General features: G+C 46.7%; 1 protein-coding gene across 11 annotated transcripts in view, besides 1 other annotated feature; it reads left to right on the forward strand.

The window, feature by feature from the left end:
- INSC (INSC spindle orientation adaptor protein) overlaps positions 1 to 21612 on the forward strand; it is a 158261-nt gene that overhangs the window by 77897 nt on the left and 58752 nt on the right. For 10 of the 11 annotated variants that reach the window (XM_006718227.3, NM_001031853.5, XM_017017698.2 and 7 more), the window contains 2 exons: positions 1389 to 1502; positions 11512 to 11637. In XM_006718227.3, coding sequence (XP_006718290.1) covers positions 1389 to 1502; positions 11512 to 11637 — 240 coding nt within the window. The remainder of the gene's footprint in view (positions 1 to 1388; positions 1503 to 11511; positions 11638 to 21612) is intronic. The other variant, NM_001278316.2, reaches the window with a different exon arrangement.
- Positions 19449 to 19498: a silencer, noted in NCBI's record as "silent region_3178". NCBI's record gives its function as "represses an Ori minimal core promoter by ATAC-STARR-seq in GM12878 lymphoblastoid cells {active_cell/tissue: GM12878}" and the evidence as "EXISTENCE:reporter gene assay evidence [ECO:0000049][PMID:35858748]".

The following is a 21612-nucleotide window of genomic DNA, read 5'->3' on the forward strand; positions in this document are numbered from 1 at the left end:
TAAAAAATGGGCACAACCCCCTTAAAAGATAGAAATTGTTATTTACACCATTTTGTTTATTTATTTATTTATTTATTTATTTATTTATTTATTTATTTATTTGAGATGGGAGTCTTTCTATGTTGCCCAGGCTATTTCTTGGACTCCTGGACTTGAGCAATCCCCCTGCCTCAATCTTCCAAATAGCTGGAACTCATAGGCACGTGCCACTGCAGATGGCTTATTTTTACACCACTGTATAGATGAGGAAACTGAGGCAAAGAAAGGCTAAGGTGCTCCAAGTGTTGCTCTTAAGTGTCTTTTCCATAATACTAGTATTTAATTAAAACTAAATTTCACTTTAATGTTTTAAAATAAACCTGGCAACTGAAACCACATGAGTGGCTGCTCAGAGCACCCAGGTCTGGAGGTCTTACTTTCTTGCATGAGGCCCTCGAAGGTTGCTCTTCTTAGTCTCTAACTCCATTCTTTCTAGAAGAAAACTTGAGCTACTGGCATTAATTAGCAGGAAGGAATCCTTTACACTCAATGAATCACATGCTTCAAAGCAAATGGCTGATGATGAAGTGGTTTCAAGTTACATAAAAACCTTTCCCTCAGAAATTAGCTGAACTTTTCTAGAAATAATCTTTGTATCTTTTTTGTTAATGAATCTTTCATTTGCTTTCCTTCCTGAACCTCTCTTCTTGGTCTTATGTTCAGTCATTCCCAGACCCTCTCATCACTAGCCTCAGGTTCATTCTTCAGCCTTGATCAGTATAGCATTCCTCACCTAGTTTCCCACCCTTTGACGGGACTCCCAGTGTTGCTATTTCATCTTGGCCTTACCCCACAAGCAGCAAGCTATTGGGGAGAGCAAATGTCCAAGAAAAATATCCCTCAAGCAGTAAACTACTGTGGAGCACTTCTCTTGACTTAACCCTTGAACCCATCACTCAGCTGGAGTTCACCATTGGCTAATAGCCATTCAAAATGAGCAGATTCTTTGGTCATAGCTGTAGCCACTCATTCGTTTTCAATTTGATGGTTTGCTAATTTAACTGATGGTTTCTTTTCTTATTAAGAACCAGTAGATTCACAAAATGGTATTTGCTGAGCCCATCAATGTTGGGAGCTGATTTTCTGAGGGACTAGGGCAAGGCTAGTTATGGCCTATGTATCAAGGGTTTGATATTATCCCATATCTCTAAAATGTAGCTTAGACCTCACCCTGACTGATACCTTTCCCAAAGCTAGAACTTCATTGCACTCACAATGAGGCAGTAGCTAGGGGCAGGAGTAGATTCCATGGTTGCTGTTAGGAGCATGGGCCCACTGGTGTTCCACTAAGATGAGCAGAGGGTAGAGGTGGTGAGTAACTACTAGCTAACTTTTCTCTCTCTTCTTAGGCACTGGTGAGAAAAATTGATGCCTCAGACAATATCTACACCACAGAGTCCACCACAGGGAACCTGTTCAGCCTGACCCAGGAGGGGGCTCCCTTGTGCCGCATCATAGCCAAGGTGAGCTTCATGGTTAGGGACCAAAATGGCAGGCCTGGGGAAGTATGAGGAAGCTCACTTGTTCAATGGGAATAGCTGGCTCACGAGGTCTGTCTTGGCCCCTGCATTAGCTGCTGAGTCTCCTTGGGAGAGTCACTTATCCTATCTGGGACTTGGTGTGTGCATTTTTTTTTTTTTTTTTTTTGAGACGGAGTCTCACTCTGTCACCCAGGCTGGAGTGCAGTGGCGCGATCTCGGCTCACTGCAAGCTCTGCCTCCCGGGTTCACGCCATTCTCCTGCCTCAGCCTCCCGAGTAGCTGGGACTACAGGCGCCTGCCACCACGTCCGGCTAATTTTTGTATTTTTAGTAGAGACGGGGTTTCACCGTGTTAGCCAGGATGGTCTCGATCTCCTGATCTTGTGATCCGCCTGCCTCGGCCTCCCAAAGTGCTGGGATTACAGGCGTGAGCCACCGTGCCCGGCCGGTGTCTGCATTTTTAGTAGGTGGCTAGCCCCTCTGATTTCATTTCCCACTTGAGACAGAAATCTGGTGCCCCCAGAGCCTCTATCATCTTTCTTTATGGGTATATGTTATAAATATCAACCGTCTTTCTCCATCTCCACACATCCTTCCCTTCCTGGCAGCTGTGGTGTCCCTGAGGTCCATGGGATGTGGTGATGTAGTGAATAAAGAGACCATCTGGCATGTGGCATTTTGGGTGATCGATTGACCTTATATGGCTCCCTGACATCATGTTTGTAAGACATGGGATGTCTCAAACCCAGTTGAAAGAAAAGTTTTTATTTTTTTTCATATAGACTTGTGTATGGCTTAAGCTCTATCCACATCACTTAATGCTGCTGCCATAACAACCTATACCCCATAATAATTAGCAGTAGCATTATCAGGAGAAAGAGGAGGAACAGATCTACAAACATGACCTTCACCACCAACTCGGAGGTTTGTTCTCTGGGTTCCCATCCAGTGCCCTTAGTCTCTTTTTGTGTCCGCTTAGAATCTTGTGAACCTCAGCATCTGCCTATGATCCTTGGAAAAGCAGGAGGAGAATCTGGGTCCTCTATTGTTTTTTCACCAAAGATATTGGCCAGTGTTCAGCAGGCATCAAGACAAGATGGCCTCTAAATAAACTCAGTCTCTGCCTAAGCTTTCCTATTCCTCCCAAAACAGGAGGCTGTACAATTCTCTGAACAAAATAAAATGCAAGGATTTGCTCAAGGAATACAAGAAGGGAGAAGAATGCAGGCTAAACTGCAAAGCAGGCTTGATTTAACTAATGCTTCTCAATTATGTTGGCATATTTCTCCTTTTAAGCCTTCATATCAGTTTCTCCCTCTCCCAGGCTGAAGAGGAGCCCAGAGACAGCCTCCCTCCCTCTGGCTCCCTCTGTTGATTGGGTCCTACATTCTGGCCATGGGCTGGGGTGGTTGTGTCTGTCCCAGCTGCTTGTCTGAGGAGAAAGCAGAGAAGGCACAAGGGCATATCATGGCCTTTGCACCTTTTGTCTTTGTGTTTTGAATGTCCTCTCTTTTTGCCACTTGGAAAACTCTTACTCAGCATTCCACACTCAATTCTGTATTCTTCTTTATTGCTTTCCAGACACGCTCCCACCTGTGGTGTCTAAAAAGAGTAGCAGGCACTGTCTCAGCACTTACCATATTCTATTTTGTTATGTGTTTTAAGCTGTGTGCTTTTTAAGGACAGAAACATCTGAGTCATCTCTGTGTCCTTAGTGCCTAGTGCAATGCCTGCACAAAGTGGGTACTCAAAGAGTTTGTTGAATGAGAAAGTTACAAATTCACAGATCCAAAATCTCTGAGAGTTGGGAGGGAACTGAAGTTCATCCGACCTTCAACTTTGGTAGGGGTTTCTGAAGGGCTGTTGAGTATCCAATGGGTCATCCTGTGTCCAGAAACAGGTTCACTGGATGTGGAGTATTTTAAATAACCTCCCTTATTCTCCATCTCTCATGTCCCCAGTTCTAATGCAAGTTCTCAGGGTACTACACTTTGAGACCTACAAAGCTAGTATGGTACTCTCTAATGACATTTATACTCAGACTAGATTCATATATATTGGAAGAGAATTCACATATATTTGACTCTGTTATATTTCTAACACTACACCAATGGGATCTCATGTAATTCTCATGATTCTGTGAGGAGGGTGGTACTAACATTTTATACAAATGAAGACGCTGAGGAACAGAGAGATTAAATAACTTGCTGCAGGGCATATAACTATCAAGTTGAATTGCAGGTATTCAAATTGTGAGCTTTGATTCCAAAGGATTCATTGCACTTATATCATATGCCTAGGAGTAGGTCTAGGATTTGTGAGGCCAGAAGCTTATGGAATTATTGGGGCCTTACTTAAGTAAAAGATTATAGAATTCCAAATTCCAAATTATTTAGAAAAGTGAGTTATTTAGAACGAGAAAATAATTCAAGAATATTTCTGGAAGGCAATTTTTTTAACCACTTTTTAATTATTATTATACTTTAAGTTCTAGGGTACATGTGCACAACGTGCAGGTTTGTTACCTATGTATACATGTGCTATGTTGGTTTGCTGTACCCATTAACTCGTCATTTACTTTAGGTATTTCTCCTAATGCTATCCCTCCCCCATCCCCCCACTCCACAACAGGCCTCAGTGTGTGATGTTCCCCTTCCTGTGTCCAAGTGTTCTCATTGTTCTGTTCCCACCTATGAGTGAGAACATGCGGTGTTGGTTTTCTGTCCTTGCAATAGTTTGCTGAGAATGATGGTTTCCAGCTTCATCCATGTCGCTACAAAGGACATGAACTCATCCTTTTTATGGCTGCATAGTATTCCATGGTGTATATGTGCCACATTTTCTTAATCCAGTCTATCACTGATGGACATTTGGGTTGGTTCCAAGTCTTTGCTATTGTGAATAGTGCCACAATAAACATACGTGTGTATGTGTCTTTATAGTAGCATGATTTATAATCCTTTGGGTATATACCCAGTAATGGGATGGCTGGGTCAAATGGTATTTCTAGTTCTAGATCCTTGAGGAATCGCCACACTGCTTCTGGAAGGCAATTCTGTACCAGGTTGGTCTGCAGTAGTTCACCTACATGAGAAACTGATGCCAACCACATTAACATATCCCACCAAACCAAAATGAAGCATGTCTCTCACACTCAACTTCATGGCTGGATCTGAAAAATGCCTGTAGCCACTCCAATACTACATTCAAGGAAGACTAAATCAAAAAGGATGGTGGTTTTCATTAATTATAATGGGAGTTGTAATTAATTAGCTTCATGGTTAATTTGCCCCTGAATTTGGATTCAAGACACTTAGAGCAAATATAGGCAACTAATAGCCCTAGGACCTCAGTAAGGTCTTTTGTTTCTTGTTTTTAGTCTCCTTTTTCACTTGAAATATGACATCACCATTGGAGACAGAACCAGGGATCTAATTGGTAGCAAAGTTATGTCCTTCGGTAGACTTAAGATGCTAGTCACAGGAAGATGCCCTGGCAACAGTGGTTCCCAGTGCCCACTCGGTATCGCAGTCCCTCAGAGAGTTTGTGGAAAACCCAGATACTTGTGCCCTACCCAAGATTCCATGGGGTCTTTGGGTAAGACCTGAGAATCTTCATTTTAACAAGCCCTACAAGTAGTTCTGAAGCATGGCCAGACTCTCAGAATCACTCATCTAAGCCCTTAAAGCAATCTTAATATTAGAGCACGGTAAATGCTTGTCAACTCTTGTGAGTGGAGAAGTGAATTTTATGTAATAGCAATAGCTAACATTTGAGTGTTGCTGTGTTCTGTCTTTAATGCATTATATAATTCCTTTCTTTTAATTCACAAAACCATCCTATGAAGAAAGTACCATGTTGTTACCATCAACAGTTGAGGAAATGGTTTAAGGAGCTTATTCAGGATCATGCAGCTGACAAGGAGTTGAGACAGAATTGAACCCCAGCCTCTTTAAGTTTAATTCAGAGTTCATGGTCCTAAACCCCACAGTGGTGACTTCTGGTTCAATCTTTGGCCCTTCAGGTCCTTGAGCCAAAGTGTGACTCAGGAGTTCTCAATCCTGGATACACAATCGAACTACTAGGGAGCTTTAAAATTTTTAGGATTCTGACTTAATTGGTCTGGAGTAGGTCCTGGGATGAATATTTTAGCTTTCCAAGTGATTCTACTGTGCTGCGTGGGTTGAGGACCTCTACTCTCTTTTGGGAGTCATTTAAATGTATTTAACCTGAAGAGCTTGTAGTGGTGTTGGAGCAAAGGGGATGGAGGAGATAGCATTGGATCTGTTTTCTCCAAGGATTCTGTGACTCAAACATTTAACTTGGTCAAGAGGGCTGACTGGAGATTTTTGTCTTGGTGCTGTGGGGGAACAGCCAACAGCTCCAACCTCTGAGCTGAAACTGACTTAACATTTGTTTAATGATTAATTCCAAACAGTAAGTAGCTGAACTTCTTTTGGAACAATTACCATTTTTCCCTTTCAAAATGAGTTGCAAACACATGCTGGATTTGGGCTCTCTGTGTGGATCTGAGGTCTGGGTGGGATAAGGACTTCTGAATGGCACATGGGTTCTGAAGATATTTTATGTTTTGTAAAGAATGGGCCTTAGAAATTTCCTGGGAAGGAAACTTTGCTTGGCAAGAGCTCTGAAGCTCTGGGTGTTCTGTTTCAGGACCTGAGCACTCAAGGTCTGTTTCCATGTGCCGCTTGATATAGACAGCTCCTACCACCTGCCTGCATTTGTGCTTCACATTCAGGAAAGCAGAGAGGAGACATGCATTTGGTTGTAAGCCAAGATGATGTTTGACCTCCTGCAGATTTAGTCTCCTGTCAGGACCAGGCCTTAACTCCAGTTAAACATTAATCCCAAACATTTCCAGTGGTAGAAAGCAGGGGGAAAGGCCTGGGTTGGGACAAGAGGGCAGCTCTCATCCCAGCTCTGCCACTAGCTCACTGGAGGAGGTTGGCCAGACCACTGGGGATTAACTCCTCCTTTGTGGCCTGAGGATGCTGGGCTGTATATTTAAGACACCTTCCAAATCTACCATGCTGCCTGACTTTCCCAGTGTTTTCATGGGAAAAGTAAGGGTGCAATTTTACTTTCATCCTATTCCATTTTAAAACAAAAGGCTAAGGTGAACTATTTGCCACGTTTAGTCATCACTTCCTACATTTCTGTCCACAGGCTTCTCAGCTGTTCCATCACTTCCTCAGCTACTCAGGGATCTCCCATGCCCCTAACACTCCCCTGGGCTCTCAAGAGCCATGACCAGGAGTTGTTTAAAGATTTCAAATAATCCTTTGATTATTTACATGGGCCACACCCTCCAGAGCCTGCCAGGAGAATACTTGAGTCTCACTGAATATTAACAACAACGATAATAATTACTATTTATTGGTGGCTTCCTATGTGTGCAGGCCCTGTGCAGGGACTTTCACACTGTTGTATCTTGTCCACATGACCCCTCTGAGAAGTATATCAGTGACCCTGTTTTACAGGTTAGAACGCCAGGACTCACAGTGGTTGAATACCTTGAGCAGTTGACACTTGAAACCAAATTTGTCCAGCTCTGGAGTAGGTGCTATTTCCATTTCACCAGCTAGTTGGTTAAAATCTAGAGTCTTTCCCTTTCCAGGCAAAACTCTGCTAACAACAAATCTGTCTCCCTCCTAATCAGTATTTCCTCTTTTTCTGCTCCTGGTCCACTGCACAGTAATCAGCTTGCTTGCTCTGGGTATGAGGCTGGTGGAGGTCAAAACTGGGAGGCATTGGCAGGAGATGGGGGCAAATGGGAGAATATGAGCTTTCTGAAGTGATCAACTCTGATGATCATGGTTGTGATGACAGCTGCAGTAAAGTAGTAATAATAAATTTATTTTTATAGCACTCACTTTGTGCCAGATAATGTTCTAAGGGCTTTATACAAATAACATATTTTAACCTCTCAATGATCCTCTGTGGTAGGCAGGATCTACCCCCATTTTCCAGGTGAGGGAGCTAAGACAGTGAGAAAGTCCAAAGCTAGTAAGGGACTGAACTGGAATTTGAACCTGGCTGTTTGGCAGCAAAGGCTACGTGCCTGGTTACTGTTCTGAACTGCTTCTCAGCAGCCCCTCCTCTTCCTCTTCCTCCCACCTTACTTCCCATTCTCTTCCTTTCTCTCACCAACCTTCCATGCCCATTGTTTACTCAGGCATGGTGCTATGCTTTCTAATCACCATCTCATCTGATTCTCTGATAGTCTTTTGATATGTCATAATTATAATTCCCATTTTGAAGATGAAGAGACAGAGTTTCAGAAAGAATATAAATAATTTATTCAAGGTCACACACATGAAAGCAGAGCTGGGATTTTAACCAGGTCTACAGATTCCAGAATCTTAATCTCAACCTTCTGATATTTCAGGTCCAAGGGATGGAGCAGACAGAGTGTTGAAGCAGAGAAAAGATTCAGGGAGGACTTCCATCTTTCCAGCTCATCTTTTCATCCATTTTTCCGGGCTGGAAAAGGGAGTCCTTCCTGAATCTTCTCTCTGGGAGAAGATGGGAGACTAATTCCTCCCATAGAATTACTGTGTTTGGGTTTCCAGTTCTGACAGTGATGCAGGAGCTGGGAGTCCCTGGCATGCCCTGCACAGCATCCTCACCTTGGATGCTCAGTAGATGTACCCAGTGTTGTAACAGTGTGGGGCAGTGATCTAGCAGCCTTCCTCATCCACCTCTTTGTGGCCTGCTGTTCTGTTTGTTTGGGTCCTTCATCTATCTTAGCTGCTTCTGGGAGAAAATGTGGGCAACCTGTCTGAGGCTTGTCCTCTCAGCTTCTTGGGTTCCTCTGAAGGCTAAAGAATAAGCCCAGACCTCTCTATGATGATGGTGACAAACTCCATCCCTTCCCCTGTGCAAGGCACAGAAAAGTCCTCTGGGCTTCATCAAAATTATCCCCCCCACCAATAACTCCTCTGTTATTCCTTCCACCACCAGCCCACACACCCCACAAGTGATCTCTTCCCACTTTATGACAGCTCATCCCAAGTCTCTCTGAATAATTCATACTGTTATGTGGCTGGGCTCTGAGCCCGGAGCTTTCTATAAAATTAAACAAGCTTCAGCCAACAGTGTGATTCTGCTAGGTCAGGCCATTCCCAGCTTCACTCCAGGATGAGTGCTGCACTCGGTTCTTGAATGGGGGCTCCAGAGTGGTCCTCAAGACCAATCCATTTTATTTCCTCTGTGGCTTTCTTCCTTCTCTCTCCTCTCACATATCCTAGCCCTCGGGACCTCTTTCATGAGGATATAAGACACTCTTATAATCAGGAAGCCTCACATAGCCTGACCCTTACCCACTCTCCAGAATCAGGTACCAGGCCTTTCCACATGTACTAACTCAATTGCACCCCCAACAGCTCAGACATATAGCTATTGTAGCCCATTTTTAGCCAAACTTAACCAGCAGCAAAGCCAGGATTTGGACCAGAATCTCTTTCTTTTGGATCCAGGAATTTCCCCCTCCCTCTCCTGGTAGCTAAAAGTGCTAAGAAGGCCATTTTTCACAGGCTTGAGAGAGATGTAATGAGAATCCAGTGCAAATGCATGCAGAGGCTTAAATATAGTTGTGCTGGGCTCAGTGCCTCCTGAGCCAAAGGAGGCTGCCACATTCATCCTGGCTCAGGCCTCATGCGTGTTCGTTGGCACTGTTTCTTCATTGTCTGCTTCAGATGTAAATGTCTCTCAATCAGTCATCTCTCTCTCTCTCATCTATCTACATATATAGAGAAATAATATTTATACAATATGTATGATTAAATATAAGCACACACATATATAAATATATATCCATATATATGTATATATATTTACATCTGGAAGAAGGCTAGAAATGACCAGCAGGGCTGGCTGATGAGAGCTTAGGACTTCTATTTCTTTTCTTCTCATTCTAAAGAGTAACTTGGTTTTCCTTCAGTGACTCTCTGAGTGAGGTCTGTATGTAGAACCTTCAAGCAGATGTCCCAGGAACTATGGGAAAGTAGGAAGGCAGGAGTAAAGGTTGTGGAACAAGGAATCAGAGGTGTAAGTGTCTGTCTCATGCCAGACATTTTTACTGAAGTAATTACGTGCACTTAAAATCAGAGTGGTTCTGTCTTGACCCTTCTACAACCCCCCACCCTCCGAGCATGTTAGGGCTTCTGCTCTGTGTTCTTTTAACCCTGCACCCCCAACCACATGTCATTGCCCCTCTACCCAGCTTTGTACCTGCTTTTAAAATTGTCTGCCTTCTCTATGAGACCATGAGTTTATTGTGGACGGGACTGAAGCAGTCTTGCTCAGTGTCCAGCATGACGTCTGGCCTATAATAAACCATTAACATTTTTGAATGCACGAATGAATGTACTAGCCCTAAGTTATGCCCTTTCACACCAAAAGAAATGAGGGGAATTCAACCACCCCAAAGGAAGTAGAATATATAAGTTGTGATTACTCTTAGCTGATTATAAAATGTCAGAAATTATGAACTCCTCCAGAGTTGGATATCTTCATCTTGACCCCTGAAGTGACCAGCAGCAAAACTCTTAGAATGAAAAGGGCGCATGAGCCTATCATTTTGGGGTGGAGGGTAAGGGAAGATCTGGAATTGAGCTATTTTGGTGAACCCGTGCTGGGCTTCTTCTTCCAATTGCCCATTCGTTGTTTTATCGTCATTCACTGCTGCATTCTCAGCACACATGGAACTGAGCCTGGCACATAATAGGTGCTTTTGTTGTCAGAGTTCTCAAAAACCTGACAGAGGATGGTCTTTTGCTGAACTTGCCTTCTTCCTATAACATTTTGCTTAGTTTTGGGAACCGGTACAATGAGGTTAGTTAGACCCAGGAGTGATGAGGTTAAAGGCGAGTGCCCTGAGGGACCCAGTTCAGATCAGTTGCTCATGCATTCTTTACTGCTGCCAACCCTAGGCACCCTGCCAGCTTTCAGGGAAGGAAAGAGGGAAAGATCTGGGCAAAGCGAGATGTGGGATATCCAATTCCTGCCACTCTAAATGCCCCAGTTAGTGCTGCCACTGGTTTGCTTGGCACCTTGGTTAGTCATTCCAGTGATCTCTTGGCTCACTTTGCTCCCAGAGCTAAGGTTGGCTCCAGCGATTATTATGAGTAAGTCTGACTAGTTAGCAGGGCACCTGGACAATGAGCTCTGCACTCCCAGATTCTTGCCTGATGGTAAACACTTTACTGGAAAGAAGTTTCCATAAACAGCTCTCACAAAAGGAAAAGTACATGCTCACCACACTCAAGAGCTGCGATGATTGTTTTTAAAAGGGTTATATCACACACACACACACACACACACACACACACACACACAAACAGGAGTAAACGAGTGAAAATGATGATGTGAATTTAGGCTGAATTATTTTACCCATCCGGACTTCAGTTTTTTTGATCAAAAAATGGGAGGAAATGGTAGTACTAATATAAATGAAACATTTTTTTTGCCTGCCTCCTGCAGCAGTTGGAAGAATCTGAGGAATAGCATGGTGACTGTTGGCAGAGGGAGAACCAGCTCTGGGCATCTAGTCAGTTCCTTCCACCTGCCTCAGATTGGTTTCTAGGACCTGCTTCCTGTGACTCCAGGCCTGCTCTATGGGAGGCTGCTCCAAGGGAGTTGCCAGATGTTTGGGAACCCTGTTGAAGGGTACTGATCGCCAGCCCTAGCAAATATGCCTGCCTTGGCCCCTGGCTCCCGAGCCCCAGAAGCATTTATAGTATCCCATCTCCAGCTTGGACTATGAAGGGTGACATTATTTCTGGAGCCAGCATTTCTCTGTAGTGTACATGTGAGCATTTGAGTGTGTGTAAGTGTGTGTGGGGCGGGGGTTGCTGGAGGCAGGGAGGACCCGAAAGCATATCTGGCGAATCAGGGATGTCACTTATTCTTGAGTTAGCCCCAGACAAGGTCACACAGTAAGATGATGTGACATTTCTTTCTCTTGGCAGGAGGGTGGGGTCGTAGCACTCTTCAAGGTTTGCCGGCAGGACAGTTTCCGGTGCTTGTACCCCCAGGCGCTCCGCACGCTGGCCTCCATCTGCTGCGTGGAAGAGGGTGTCCACCAGCTGGAGAAGGTAAGGACAGCTGGCTGGGTGGTGCCTGAGGTCCTCAAGCCAGGTAGGGGTGAGGTCCAGGCCTCATGATGGCCATCTGTTCCTTTTCATGGACCAAGTGCCTCGAGTAGTCCTTTTCCCAGGCACCATTCGGATAGGGTGGCTGGGACCTGGACTATGGGAGTCAGCAAAGAGGTGAAGGAGATGGGGACTGATGAGCCTGAGCAGGAAAGGCAGGGCTCAAAGGGACACTCAGCACTTCCTGGGTGGGGTGACAACTGGGGAGACTCCTGTGGGTGGATCATGGTAGGAGGCAGGCAAGTCAGGTGTTGGTGCTGGGGTTCAGGGTGGTTGATTCTTCACCCACAGCAGGCCTCCTAAAGACGGAAGAGGATCCAGATCCTGGGAGCATTGACTGGGCAAGAGCAGGGCAGCACTGGGTGTCTGGGAAAGCAGGTGGGGCTCCTCTCCACTAAAGACCAGCGGGCTTGGGTGAGGGAGGTGGAAGCCCCAGTCCAAGTGCTCACTGGGCCAAGATGGCGTGGGAGTAGGGTAGGGTTAGAGGAGGAAGGTGGTGATGTGACAGGCTCTAGTGCCTCTGTTCAAGCCTGATCTATGGTGACATAACTAATTCCCGCCACCCTGACCCCTTCCCTGGTTGTGCGACTGAGGCTGCGCCTCTACTTAGACATGAGTGAGTCTGAGCTTGCGGATAGGCTCTCAGGGACTCCAGCCAGGAGAGCTGGGGAGGCAGGGGCTGAAATCTGGGGTTTCCCAACCAAGTTTCCAGGAAAGATGCTGAAAATTCTTATAGAAAAGTGGAAAGGCCTGGTACGTCCTGCTACTATGGTGGTACCTGCAGGATTTGGGGTGGGATCTGAGTCTGTTCCTGTTAGCTGGTCTAAATGGGGACAGGGGCCAGCAAACTGCTCTCTGTCCTCTGCATCCATGTCCCACAGTCTGGTCCTGGCAGCCCAAATAACTCCACCCTACCCTCAGCTTCTTCACTTTGGTCTGGACTCCTAGACAAATGGTCATCTTACTTTTTACCCTGTCTCCTTCCAAACCTACTCAGATTATTGGGACAGGGTCATAGAATCATGAACTTACAGATGCTCTTAGCTAAGGATGGAATGTGGATAGGGAATCTGCTCATTTTACAGATGACAAGGCTATGGGTCAGAATGGGGAAGTAATTTGCCTAAGGTGACAGAGCAAGATAGTAGAGGAGATAGTGCCAGCTTTTTGGACAGAGTGCCCGCTTCCCACCGGGTTGGAAGTCTTCATATCTAGTTGCTATGAGCACTAGATTTGGAGGTGAGAAATCCATGCTTACTCCTTCATTGTGCTACTCATTAGGTAGCGAGGCTCTGAGGAGAGAAGTGATTAACTCAGGGTCATATAGCTATTAAATGAGAGAACCAAAAGCCAAATCCAAGTCTTCTAAGGCTGAAACCAATTACAGTTATCTCTATTCCAGTGGACTGTCTGATTGTGTGAGCACAGACATGCTATGCGTGTGCTCTCTTATATGGCAAAATAGAGGAGTGGAGAGGATGGTGAGAGAGAGAGGGAGAGACAGACAGTGGACTTGATAAAGGAAATGCATTGAGCATCCTCAACTTCACGTTCTGAATAATTCCCTCCCTTCTCCTATAAAACTTGTCCTTCCTTGGATAGTGTACAAACGACCAAATGGGGTTTGTTTCTCACCTTTCCTGTCTGGTTGGCAGGGAAAATGGGAGGAGAAGATAGAAGGAGCTTGGGATCACCAGCCCTCCAAAAGCCGATTGTATGGCTTTAGTGAGCTTGCAGTGCAGAAGGAAGTTTTCAATTCAGGGAAGAAAAACAACAGGGCTTTTCGTTTGTTTGTTTAGAGTTGAAAACCTGTGCAGCTGGGATGGCTGGAGGCATTTTTCCTTTCACCTATCTGATGCTGCTCAAATGCCAGAGTGCTTTAATGTGTCTTTCGCAGTATAGACGGCCCAGGCCCTAGCCTGAGATTCAGACCCTGCCCAGTTGAGCAAAAGGAGAAAGAGATGCTCGTAGTCTGGGGGTTTATTTTGTGCCAGGTGCTGAGATAGTCCACTACATATGTCCTTTCATTAATGCACCAGAACCTTGTGAGGTGAGCACTATTAGTATCTCCATCTTAAAGATAAGGAAATGGAATCTCAGACAGTTTAAGTGACTTGCCTAAATAACATAGTAAGTGTTAGAGCCAGAATTTGGACCCACATCTGCCATAGTACAGCACCCCTGTGTCACGACCTTGCTGGTTTAATGATTACTCTGAGAGCACTGAAAAGGTCCCTGCAGCTTAATCCCAGACCACCTTGCTATTCCTGGCCACTGTGCTAACCCCTCACATCCCCAGCTGGCATAGGGGATAGTAGCTTACCTGGACATTTCTCCTCTCCAGGCCAGATTGCTTATAATACACAGACACTCATGAAATATTTCCTCTGTGCCAGGCACTGAAGAGGAATAAGACTTACCCTGGTAAGAGCCCCTGAGTGATCAGAAATAACAACTACATTGTGTAGCAGTTGTAGAGCTTGCAAAGTGACTCCACATGGATTCTAATTTCATTTGATGCTTGCTTCAAGTTTGAAAGTATCCCCATAGTATGGATGAAAATACTGACGTCCAGAGAGGTGAAATGACTTCTTGCATGAAATCATACATTATGTAATTCATTCATTCAGCAAATATTTACTATCTGCTATTTGCTAGGCACTGTTTTAGGTGCTGGGAGTATAACAGTGAACAAAACAGACAAAACCTCTTGTCTTCATGGAGATTACATTCTAGTCTAGAAGGTAGCAAGTTATGGTCCATGGGCTAAATTCAGCCTGCTGTCTGCCTTGTATGGCCCATGAGCTAAGAATGATTTTTTTTTTTCATTTTTAAATGGTCAGAAAAAAAAACAGAAGAAGAATAAAATTCTGTGTCCCATGAAAGCTTCTGTGAAATTCGAAGTTCAGCCATAGTTTTATTAGAACACAGCTACACTTGTTTGTTTGGGTGTTCTCTATGTGCTTTCATACCAAAATAGCAGAACTGAATAGTTGCAACAGAGACCATATAGCCTTCAAAGCCAAAAATATTTACTCTCTGGCCATCTATAGAAAATTCTTGCCGAGCCCGGTTCTAGCAGGTAAGGAAGATGTCATGACCACGGTGAGAGGAACAATAACTAACATATATCGAATACTTGCTTTGGGCAAGCACTTTGCTAAGCCCCTCCTTTCATCAAGTCATTTATTCCTTGCCATCCTGTTATATCTCCACTGCTTACAGAAGAAAGGGAGACTCAGAGACGCGAAGCCACTTGCTCAAGGGCGCATAGCTAAAAAGTAGCCCAGGCAGTAATGTAATTCCAGCTCTGCTGGGCCAGAGCCAGCCTGGGCTGTTAACAATTGTGCAGACCCAGGACTCAAAATCTGATATTGTGAGGCCAGTTTCCATGCTCCTTTCCTCCATATCATATTGCTTCCAAAGTTGGGAGAAGTTCTAGAGACACCCATGAGGTCCTTAATCTCTCCCACCCTCCACCCACACCCCCTCCCTGGGTTCTGTCCATGCCTGCCACCCTCTGTGAGCTGGGCTGCTCAGCACTGCCCACAGAGGCTCTGGTGAGGTTGGCCATTGTCAGTGTTGAGGATGGAAGATGGTGAAGACCAGGCACAGGCCGGATTGTAGAAACCACAGAGTGACAGGTGAGTGAAGGTGGAGTGGGGAAGTGTGGTTCCCTGGGGCTCTTGCCAGCCACCCACTCACCGGGCATGGTTCGTGGCCAAATTAGATCACATCAAAGTTCCAGCCTTCTCCGCCTGATTTACTGGCCTGGCCTTCTCACTGAGGTTCGCTTAATTAATTGGCAGTGGGAAACGTGCTGGATTTGGTGAAATTCGTCTCTGTTGTGCAGCTTCCCCCTCCTTTCCTTCAACCGTGAAGAGGTTCATTAAATCCTGCACAGCCCCCAGCGGAGTTGTGGGTCTAGACAGGTCACTGCATCCATCCCAATTGCTGCTGTGTCATGCCTGAGCCTTGCTGGGTTTGGGGGACTTTTGTGGTCATAGATTCAGTCATGGTCTCATTCATTCACTCACGGGAAGTCACTTCGTCTCTGCTTCTTCATTCCTTCTGTTTGCCAGTCAGTCATTCACTTACTTTTAAACTCACTCAAATTCCAGTGCTTTAAGAGGGTGAGGCAGGAGCAATGCATGAAGCCAGGGGTTCCAGGCTCGCCTAGGCAACATAGCTAGACCCTGTTTCTTAAAAGTAAAATAAAATAAAAAATAAGTAAACTTACTCACTCATTTGTTCTCTCACGAAGTCCACCACTAATTCACTCTATGAATTCCTTCTTTTATCACTGAAGCAGCCTATTACAGTGGAGAGACTGAGAACTTGGAGAATCAGGCAATCCTGGGTTTGAACAGATTTTTCTCACTGTGAGCTTGGATATGTTATCCTGGGGGATTTGCTTAGCACAGTTCCTTGATCAGTAAAATGAGCCTATAAAATCTACCTCATGTATAGTAATATGATGCTTGGCACAGAGTAGACAGCGAATAAATGGTGGCTACTGTGATTGTGGCAGGTATAATGCTAATCACTTGGACTTTGAAAATGAATGGAAGGTTAGGGTCTGGTGGGGAAGGGAGGGCTGGCATGTGGGAGAGGGGCTGGCCTGGTCAAAGTTGCAGTGAAGTGCACACATGGAGAAGTTGGGTGGTCCAGGGGGGATGAGTCCTCACAGTCTTTCCCTTTAACAGACGAGGAAACTGAGACTCCGAGACAGTGTTTCCTCAGTCATGAATGTAGAGCTTGGATGCAAACCTAAGTCTGGCTGGTTCTAAACTCCTGCTCTTTCCTCTGCTACCTGGGGATAGCTGGTCCTTCTGAGGCAGGGACTGCAGAGGACTGGGAGCCAGGTTCTCTGTGTTGGCCTGGGCAAGGGACGGACACAGACACCCAACAAGCAGGGATGGAGGCAAGATGCCAACACACAGCAAAGGCCTCTCCACAAGTGTCTGACAGGCGTTTTGAGGCCTCATTCTTTCTTTTCAGAGCTGTCACGTGGAGGTCTGGTTCATCTGGGCTGCAGCCTCCCTGCATCCTAAGCTTCAGGACATCTGTCCTTCCTTCCCTGTGTCTTCATCTGACATCACTCCTCATTCCCTACCCCTATGCTGGGTTCTGGAGAAGAGACAGGCTCCCTGCTTCCCAGGATGGCTGAAGGGGGAGAGGCCCAGCAGGACAGACAGTGGTAAGGGCTGTCCCATGGCCATCAGAGGCTATAAGCAGGAGGCCCCACCTCTGGTGGGGTTGCCGGTGTAGGCAGCACCAAAGAGGCAATGAAGCTGGGCCCAGAAGGGCCAGGGAGGAGCTCCCAGGCAGACCAGAGGAAAGCAGTCTTAACAAGGGCAGGGGCAGAGGGGACACCACAGCAGGGAGCCACCCCAGCAGGGAGCCACCCAATGGGGCTCCAAGTCTCCAAGTCTTCCAGGGTCTTTGTGTTCAGTGAATTGGGGGAGCCCCAAGGAGAAGGCAGTGTTCTCTGGACCTCACTTGGGAGAAGACTAGAGGGAGAAAATGAGGGCCAAGGAGGGAGTAAGGGCCCCAGAGCCACACAGTCCAGCGAGAGCAGATGAACCCAGCCTGGTCAGGGTGGACTGCTGAGGGTGGCCTTCCTGGAGGACTGGAGCTGGCAAGGTGAACTGGCATTACCAAGGGGGAGGACTGCAGGGTTTGGGGAAGAATGAAGAGAGGTGAGGGAGCAAGTCACTTCTCCTGTCTGAATCCCAGCTTCATCTTCTGTAAAATGGGACTCCCACCTTCTTTATAGGGCTGCTATGGTGATGCAATGAAGCAATATGGGTGGGTCTTGCAGCAATGGTGCCTGCGTGGAGAAAGCACTCTGCCTGTGTCTGTTTCCTTTTCCTCCTCCCATGCCCATTTGTCTCTACTTTTCCAGGCTGGTCTGGGGAAAACTTCACATTGCCCCCAAAGGACCTGGTTATTGGGGATTTTGCAATGACCATGGCAGGGTGCCAGGTACTCTGAGTGGTGAAGGGGAAGGTCAGGGCACTGCTGGTTCAGGGATTGATTGTGGTTGGATGGGGCCAGGCCAGGATGGGGTTGGAGGGGGCTGGAGACTAGAGCTGGACTGCGGACTATGGTCCAGATGAGGGGCTGGAGATGTTAGGGATAGGAAGCTACAGGTCTGTGGCCAAAAGGAGTGGGGGGCACTCAAAGCCCAAGGCTCAGACAACCTTCAGGACAGTTCTGGTCATTGTCTTTTCCAGAACTGAAAGACCAGAGACGGCCTCACTTTCAAAAAGCATCCTTTTATTCTCACTCCTCCCTTTTATTTTATTTTTTCAAATAACGAGTTAGTTCACTCTGTGCTGGAGCCAAGGGGGTAGTTTAATGAAAATCAATACAGAAATTAAAGATGAGGGGAGAGCGGGGAGGACGGCTCAATTTCAAGTCCAAGAAGAAAATCACCAAGGGCAAGAGCTGGAAAACTGCTGCCTGTCTCCATGCAGCTCCTTCACGCCCCACCCTCATTTCCTGGGGCAGCTTCTTGGAATCAATAGGCCCTGACAGCTGAGGTGCTGGGCTGGAAGAGAGATGAAGACAGGGAGGCCTATATTGAGCTCTTGAAATCCCAGAGGCCCTGGGCAGGAGGGAGTGGGCTGCAAGCGGGAATGGTGGGGAGGCTCTGTGGCCCCAGCTGCTGTTTTACAGGGGTCTGTCTCCACTGTCTGCTCCCTGTATAATTGCAGATGGTCATAAATAGTTAATTTTTGCAAAAAATAAATAAAAAATTCAAACAAGCAAAAAAACCTCACTTTAATCAGTTTTTCTCACCATTATGCCCATTTGCTTTTCACGGTCATTTTGTAAGGAAGGCAGGGAGAGATGGTCACCTCCATCTTATTTACAGAAGAGCAAGTTGAGGCTGGAAAGGATAGAGATACTGGGAGGGACAGAGGCTGGACTGAGAACCCTGCGTTTTTGCTCCTAATCCTAAGTGTGCCCCCTGGTCCCATTAGGTGAATGGTGTCATAGTGTGCAGATCCCAAAGCAAAGCTACTACTTTCTTGCTAGAGTTGGTTCTAATATATAAGCCAGGCTGGATAGAGACAGAGGGGCTGTGAATGCAAGGCAAAAAAATCTTTGCTTAATTTGTCTTGCAATCCCTTCTTACCTAGGAATAGCTTTTAGAGAGAGGGAGAGAGAATGCCTCTGAATGAAGGTCGCAGATGCCTCTTCACCTCTCTTTGGCACTCAACCCATCTAGGATTATCAGCTTCCTCCACTCCTCACACCCCCAAACACTAGCCTTCAACTCCCATGGGAATGGGCTAAGGCTTTGCAGAGAGGCCCAGGGTCCCAGGTTAGCTGTGCTGTGACTCTGGCTGACAGGCAGAAAGGAACTGAGGCTGGCACTGTCATTGTCACTCTTCCCAGCCTTGCAAGGGGGCAGGGCCCATGATTGAGCCTTCTCAGAGGGACTGTGGCTTGTTCACTTTCGACATACCAAGGCTCCTGTCTGTCTGTCTTGATGGCTGGGGTGGGGGCACTTAAGGAGGCCAGGATGCAAAGAGGCAGGAACTAAATTAGCCACACTGCCCCACCTGCCCTCTCCCCTTCTAACAAAGACCTAGGCTGAGATTATGGGCCAGTACTTTCCAGACTGAAGGAAGGCTCGGGGACTGCGCCTTTCCCGCCAGGTCCAACCTGAGTTTGGAGAAGGGATGGGGCTGCCAGGCAGTCCAGGTGCCTAAGTGCAGCAGTGGGTTTGCAGGAGCAGGCTCCATCCGCAGAGGCTCGGTGGGACCCCATGTGCTGTGCAACAGCGACCCCTGGTGGATAAGAACACCAGTGGCCGCTCCATCAGGCTGCCTGGGGTAGGCTTCTCCTGGGGCTGTTGAGGCTGGTGGTCTCTGGGCTCCAGGACCAACAGTCAGGGCCAGTGTGTGGGGCGGAGTGAGTGGGGGAGTAGGGGAGGTTTACAAATTCAGGGCAGTGAGGGCTTTTTCCTACTGAGCCAGCCTCCGATGATGTAGGCAAATCTTTCATTCCAACATGTATCTAACTTCCAGATTTCCCCAGAGAGTCTGTCCTGTGTGTTCTTGGAGTGGAAATCTTCCTAGGCCTCCTAGTTCCCACTGGACAAAATCCAAACCCCTCAGCCTGGCACTGAAGGTGCCCTCTGAGCAAGCTGCCTCCAGCACATTGCCCCTTTGGTAAACAAGCCTGGGTTTGGTGCCCAGCTCTACCACTTATTCACTGTGTGTGTGACCTTGCACCCCTCTGAGCCCCATTTCATCACAGGTGAAAGTGAAGTGTCAATCCCTGCCTTGCAGGTTGTGAAGATGATACAAGTCAATGCTCCATAGATGTGAGTTATTTTCCCCTTCCCACCAAATTTCTCCACCAAAGGTCTTTGGGGCCTCCTTGCCTTGGAGCCTCTGCCTGTGCTGGGTGTCCCAATGAGAGTTTCACCTCCACTGTTGACATCTCGCTCTAAGGCCTCCTCTGGACCTCCTTCCCGACTGTGATCCTCCCTCCTTGGTGCTCACACAGTATGTGGTACTGCTCTGGAAGCGTATCCCACACTGCCTGACCTCAAACCTCTGCCTTGGCTTCCCCACCAAGAGACACTATCTCACCCACTTCTTTAGTCCATCAGGGAAGTGGTTTGCACACACAGGTGAATAATGTTTGCTATGAAACCAAATAAATACCAATTGAAGATTTCTGGTTCGTTCTTCCTCATTGCAGATGAGAAAATAGAGGCCCAGAGAGGTGAAATGATGTGCACACCCACATTCCCGAGATCAACCACAGGGCTGAGACCAGAATGCAGAATGTCTGACTTCACTTGAAACAGCATGGCAGGATGCTGTGATCAGTTTCAGACCCTGATGAGGGGTGGGAGTTGGGGGAGTATAAACATCATAGGGTCCCTCAATAAGGACAGAATGGAATTTGCCCTGAGCCCCTGTTTGCACCACTTAGCCCTGGCAATTTGCACCGGCTTTGCCCGTCTCCTAATTCTAATGGCCCTAAGCCCAAGTTCTTAGGTCTCAAAGAGACTTAGGGAGGTTGGTGGGCCAAGATGAGCTCTGCAAGTCAGCCTGAGATAAGTCAGATGAGTAGAAGCCCTTTGAGGCTGGCTATGTTTCCTGGGTAAAGTTCAGCAGGCTTGATGTTAGTGAAGAGATCCTGGGACAAGTTCTTCATTTGCCACTGATTTGCTAAGTGACCACAGGGAAGTTTTCTAATCCCTATGAGCCTCAATTTTCTCATTTGATGGGATTCCTAGTTCTGCTGGTATCCTGTGGCATATGAAGTAATTTTGTGAGATGTAATGTGATGAACAAAAGTTAGATGTTTAGCTGGCAGGGCTAGGAATTCTAGCCTGTTCTGTGGGCTACAGACATGCCTGTTCTGTGGGTTTGGGTTGTGTTGAGTGGGTGGTGTTCTTCCAGGAGTTGTTAGAAGAGAGCTGGGTGCCTGTGAATTCTTAGATGGAGCTCTGCATTTGAGAGTTTGTGTGTGTGTGTGTGTGTGTGTGTGTGTGTGTGTGTGTGTGGTGGAGTGGGATGCAGCAGGCTTAGCAGGGTAAAGTTGTTGTGTATCTCCTAGCTGGTCCCAAAGAATCTGGTGAGAGCAGAAAATAAATGAGAAGTCTGATGAAAACACAGTGCTGTTGCTGGGGAGAAGGGAGGCCGTGCTCACAGGGAAGCAAAGATTGCCTAGGACATGGGACAAGGTACAGAGGTGGCACTCTCAGCCACCCCTGAGTGCTTCTGGAGTGGGGCAAGTGCTAGTTTGGAGGGGAGCAGGGTAAAGGAGGTTGCTTGGGCTGGTGGGGTGGAGGGAGGATTGAAAGGATGATACACTGTGAAGGTTTAGGGTAGAATTTGGTAGGCAGGATCCACTTCTGGGAACAGTCTGGCACTGACAGTG

Source organism: Homo sapiens, chromosome 11, assembly GCF_000001405.40.
Source record: "Homo sapiens chromosome 11, GRCh38.p14 Primary Assembly".
Lineage (NCBI taxonomy): Eukaryota > Metazoa > Chordata > Mammalia > Primates > Hominidae > Homo > Homo sapiens.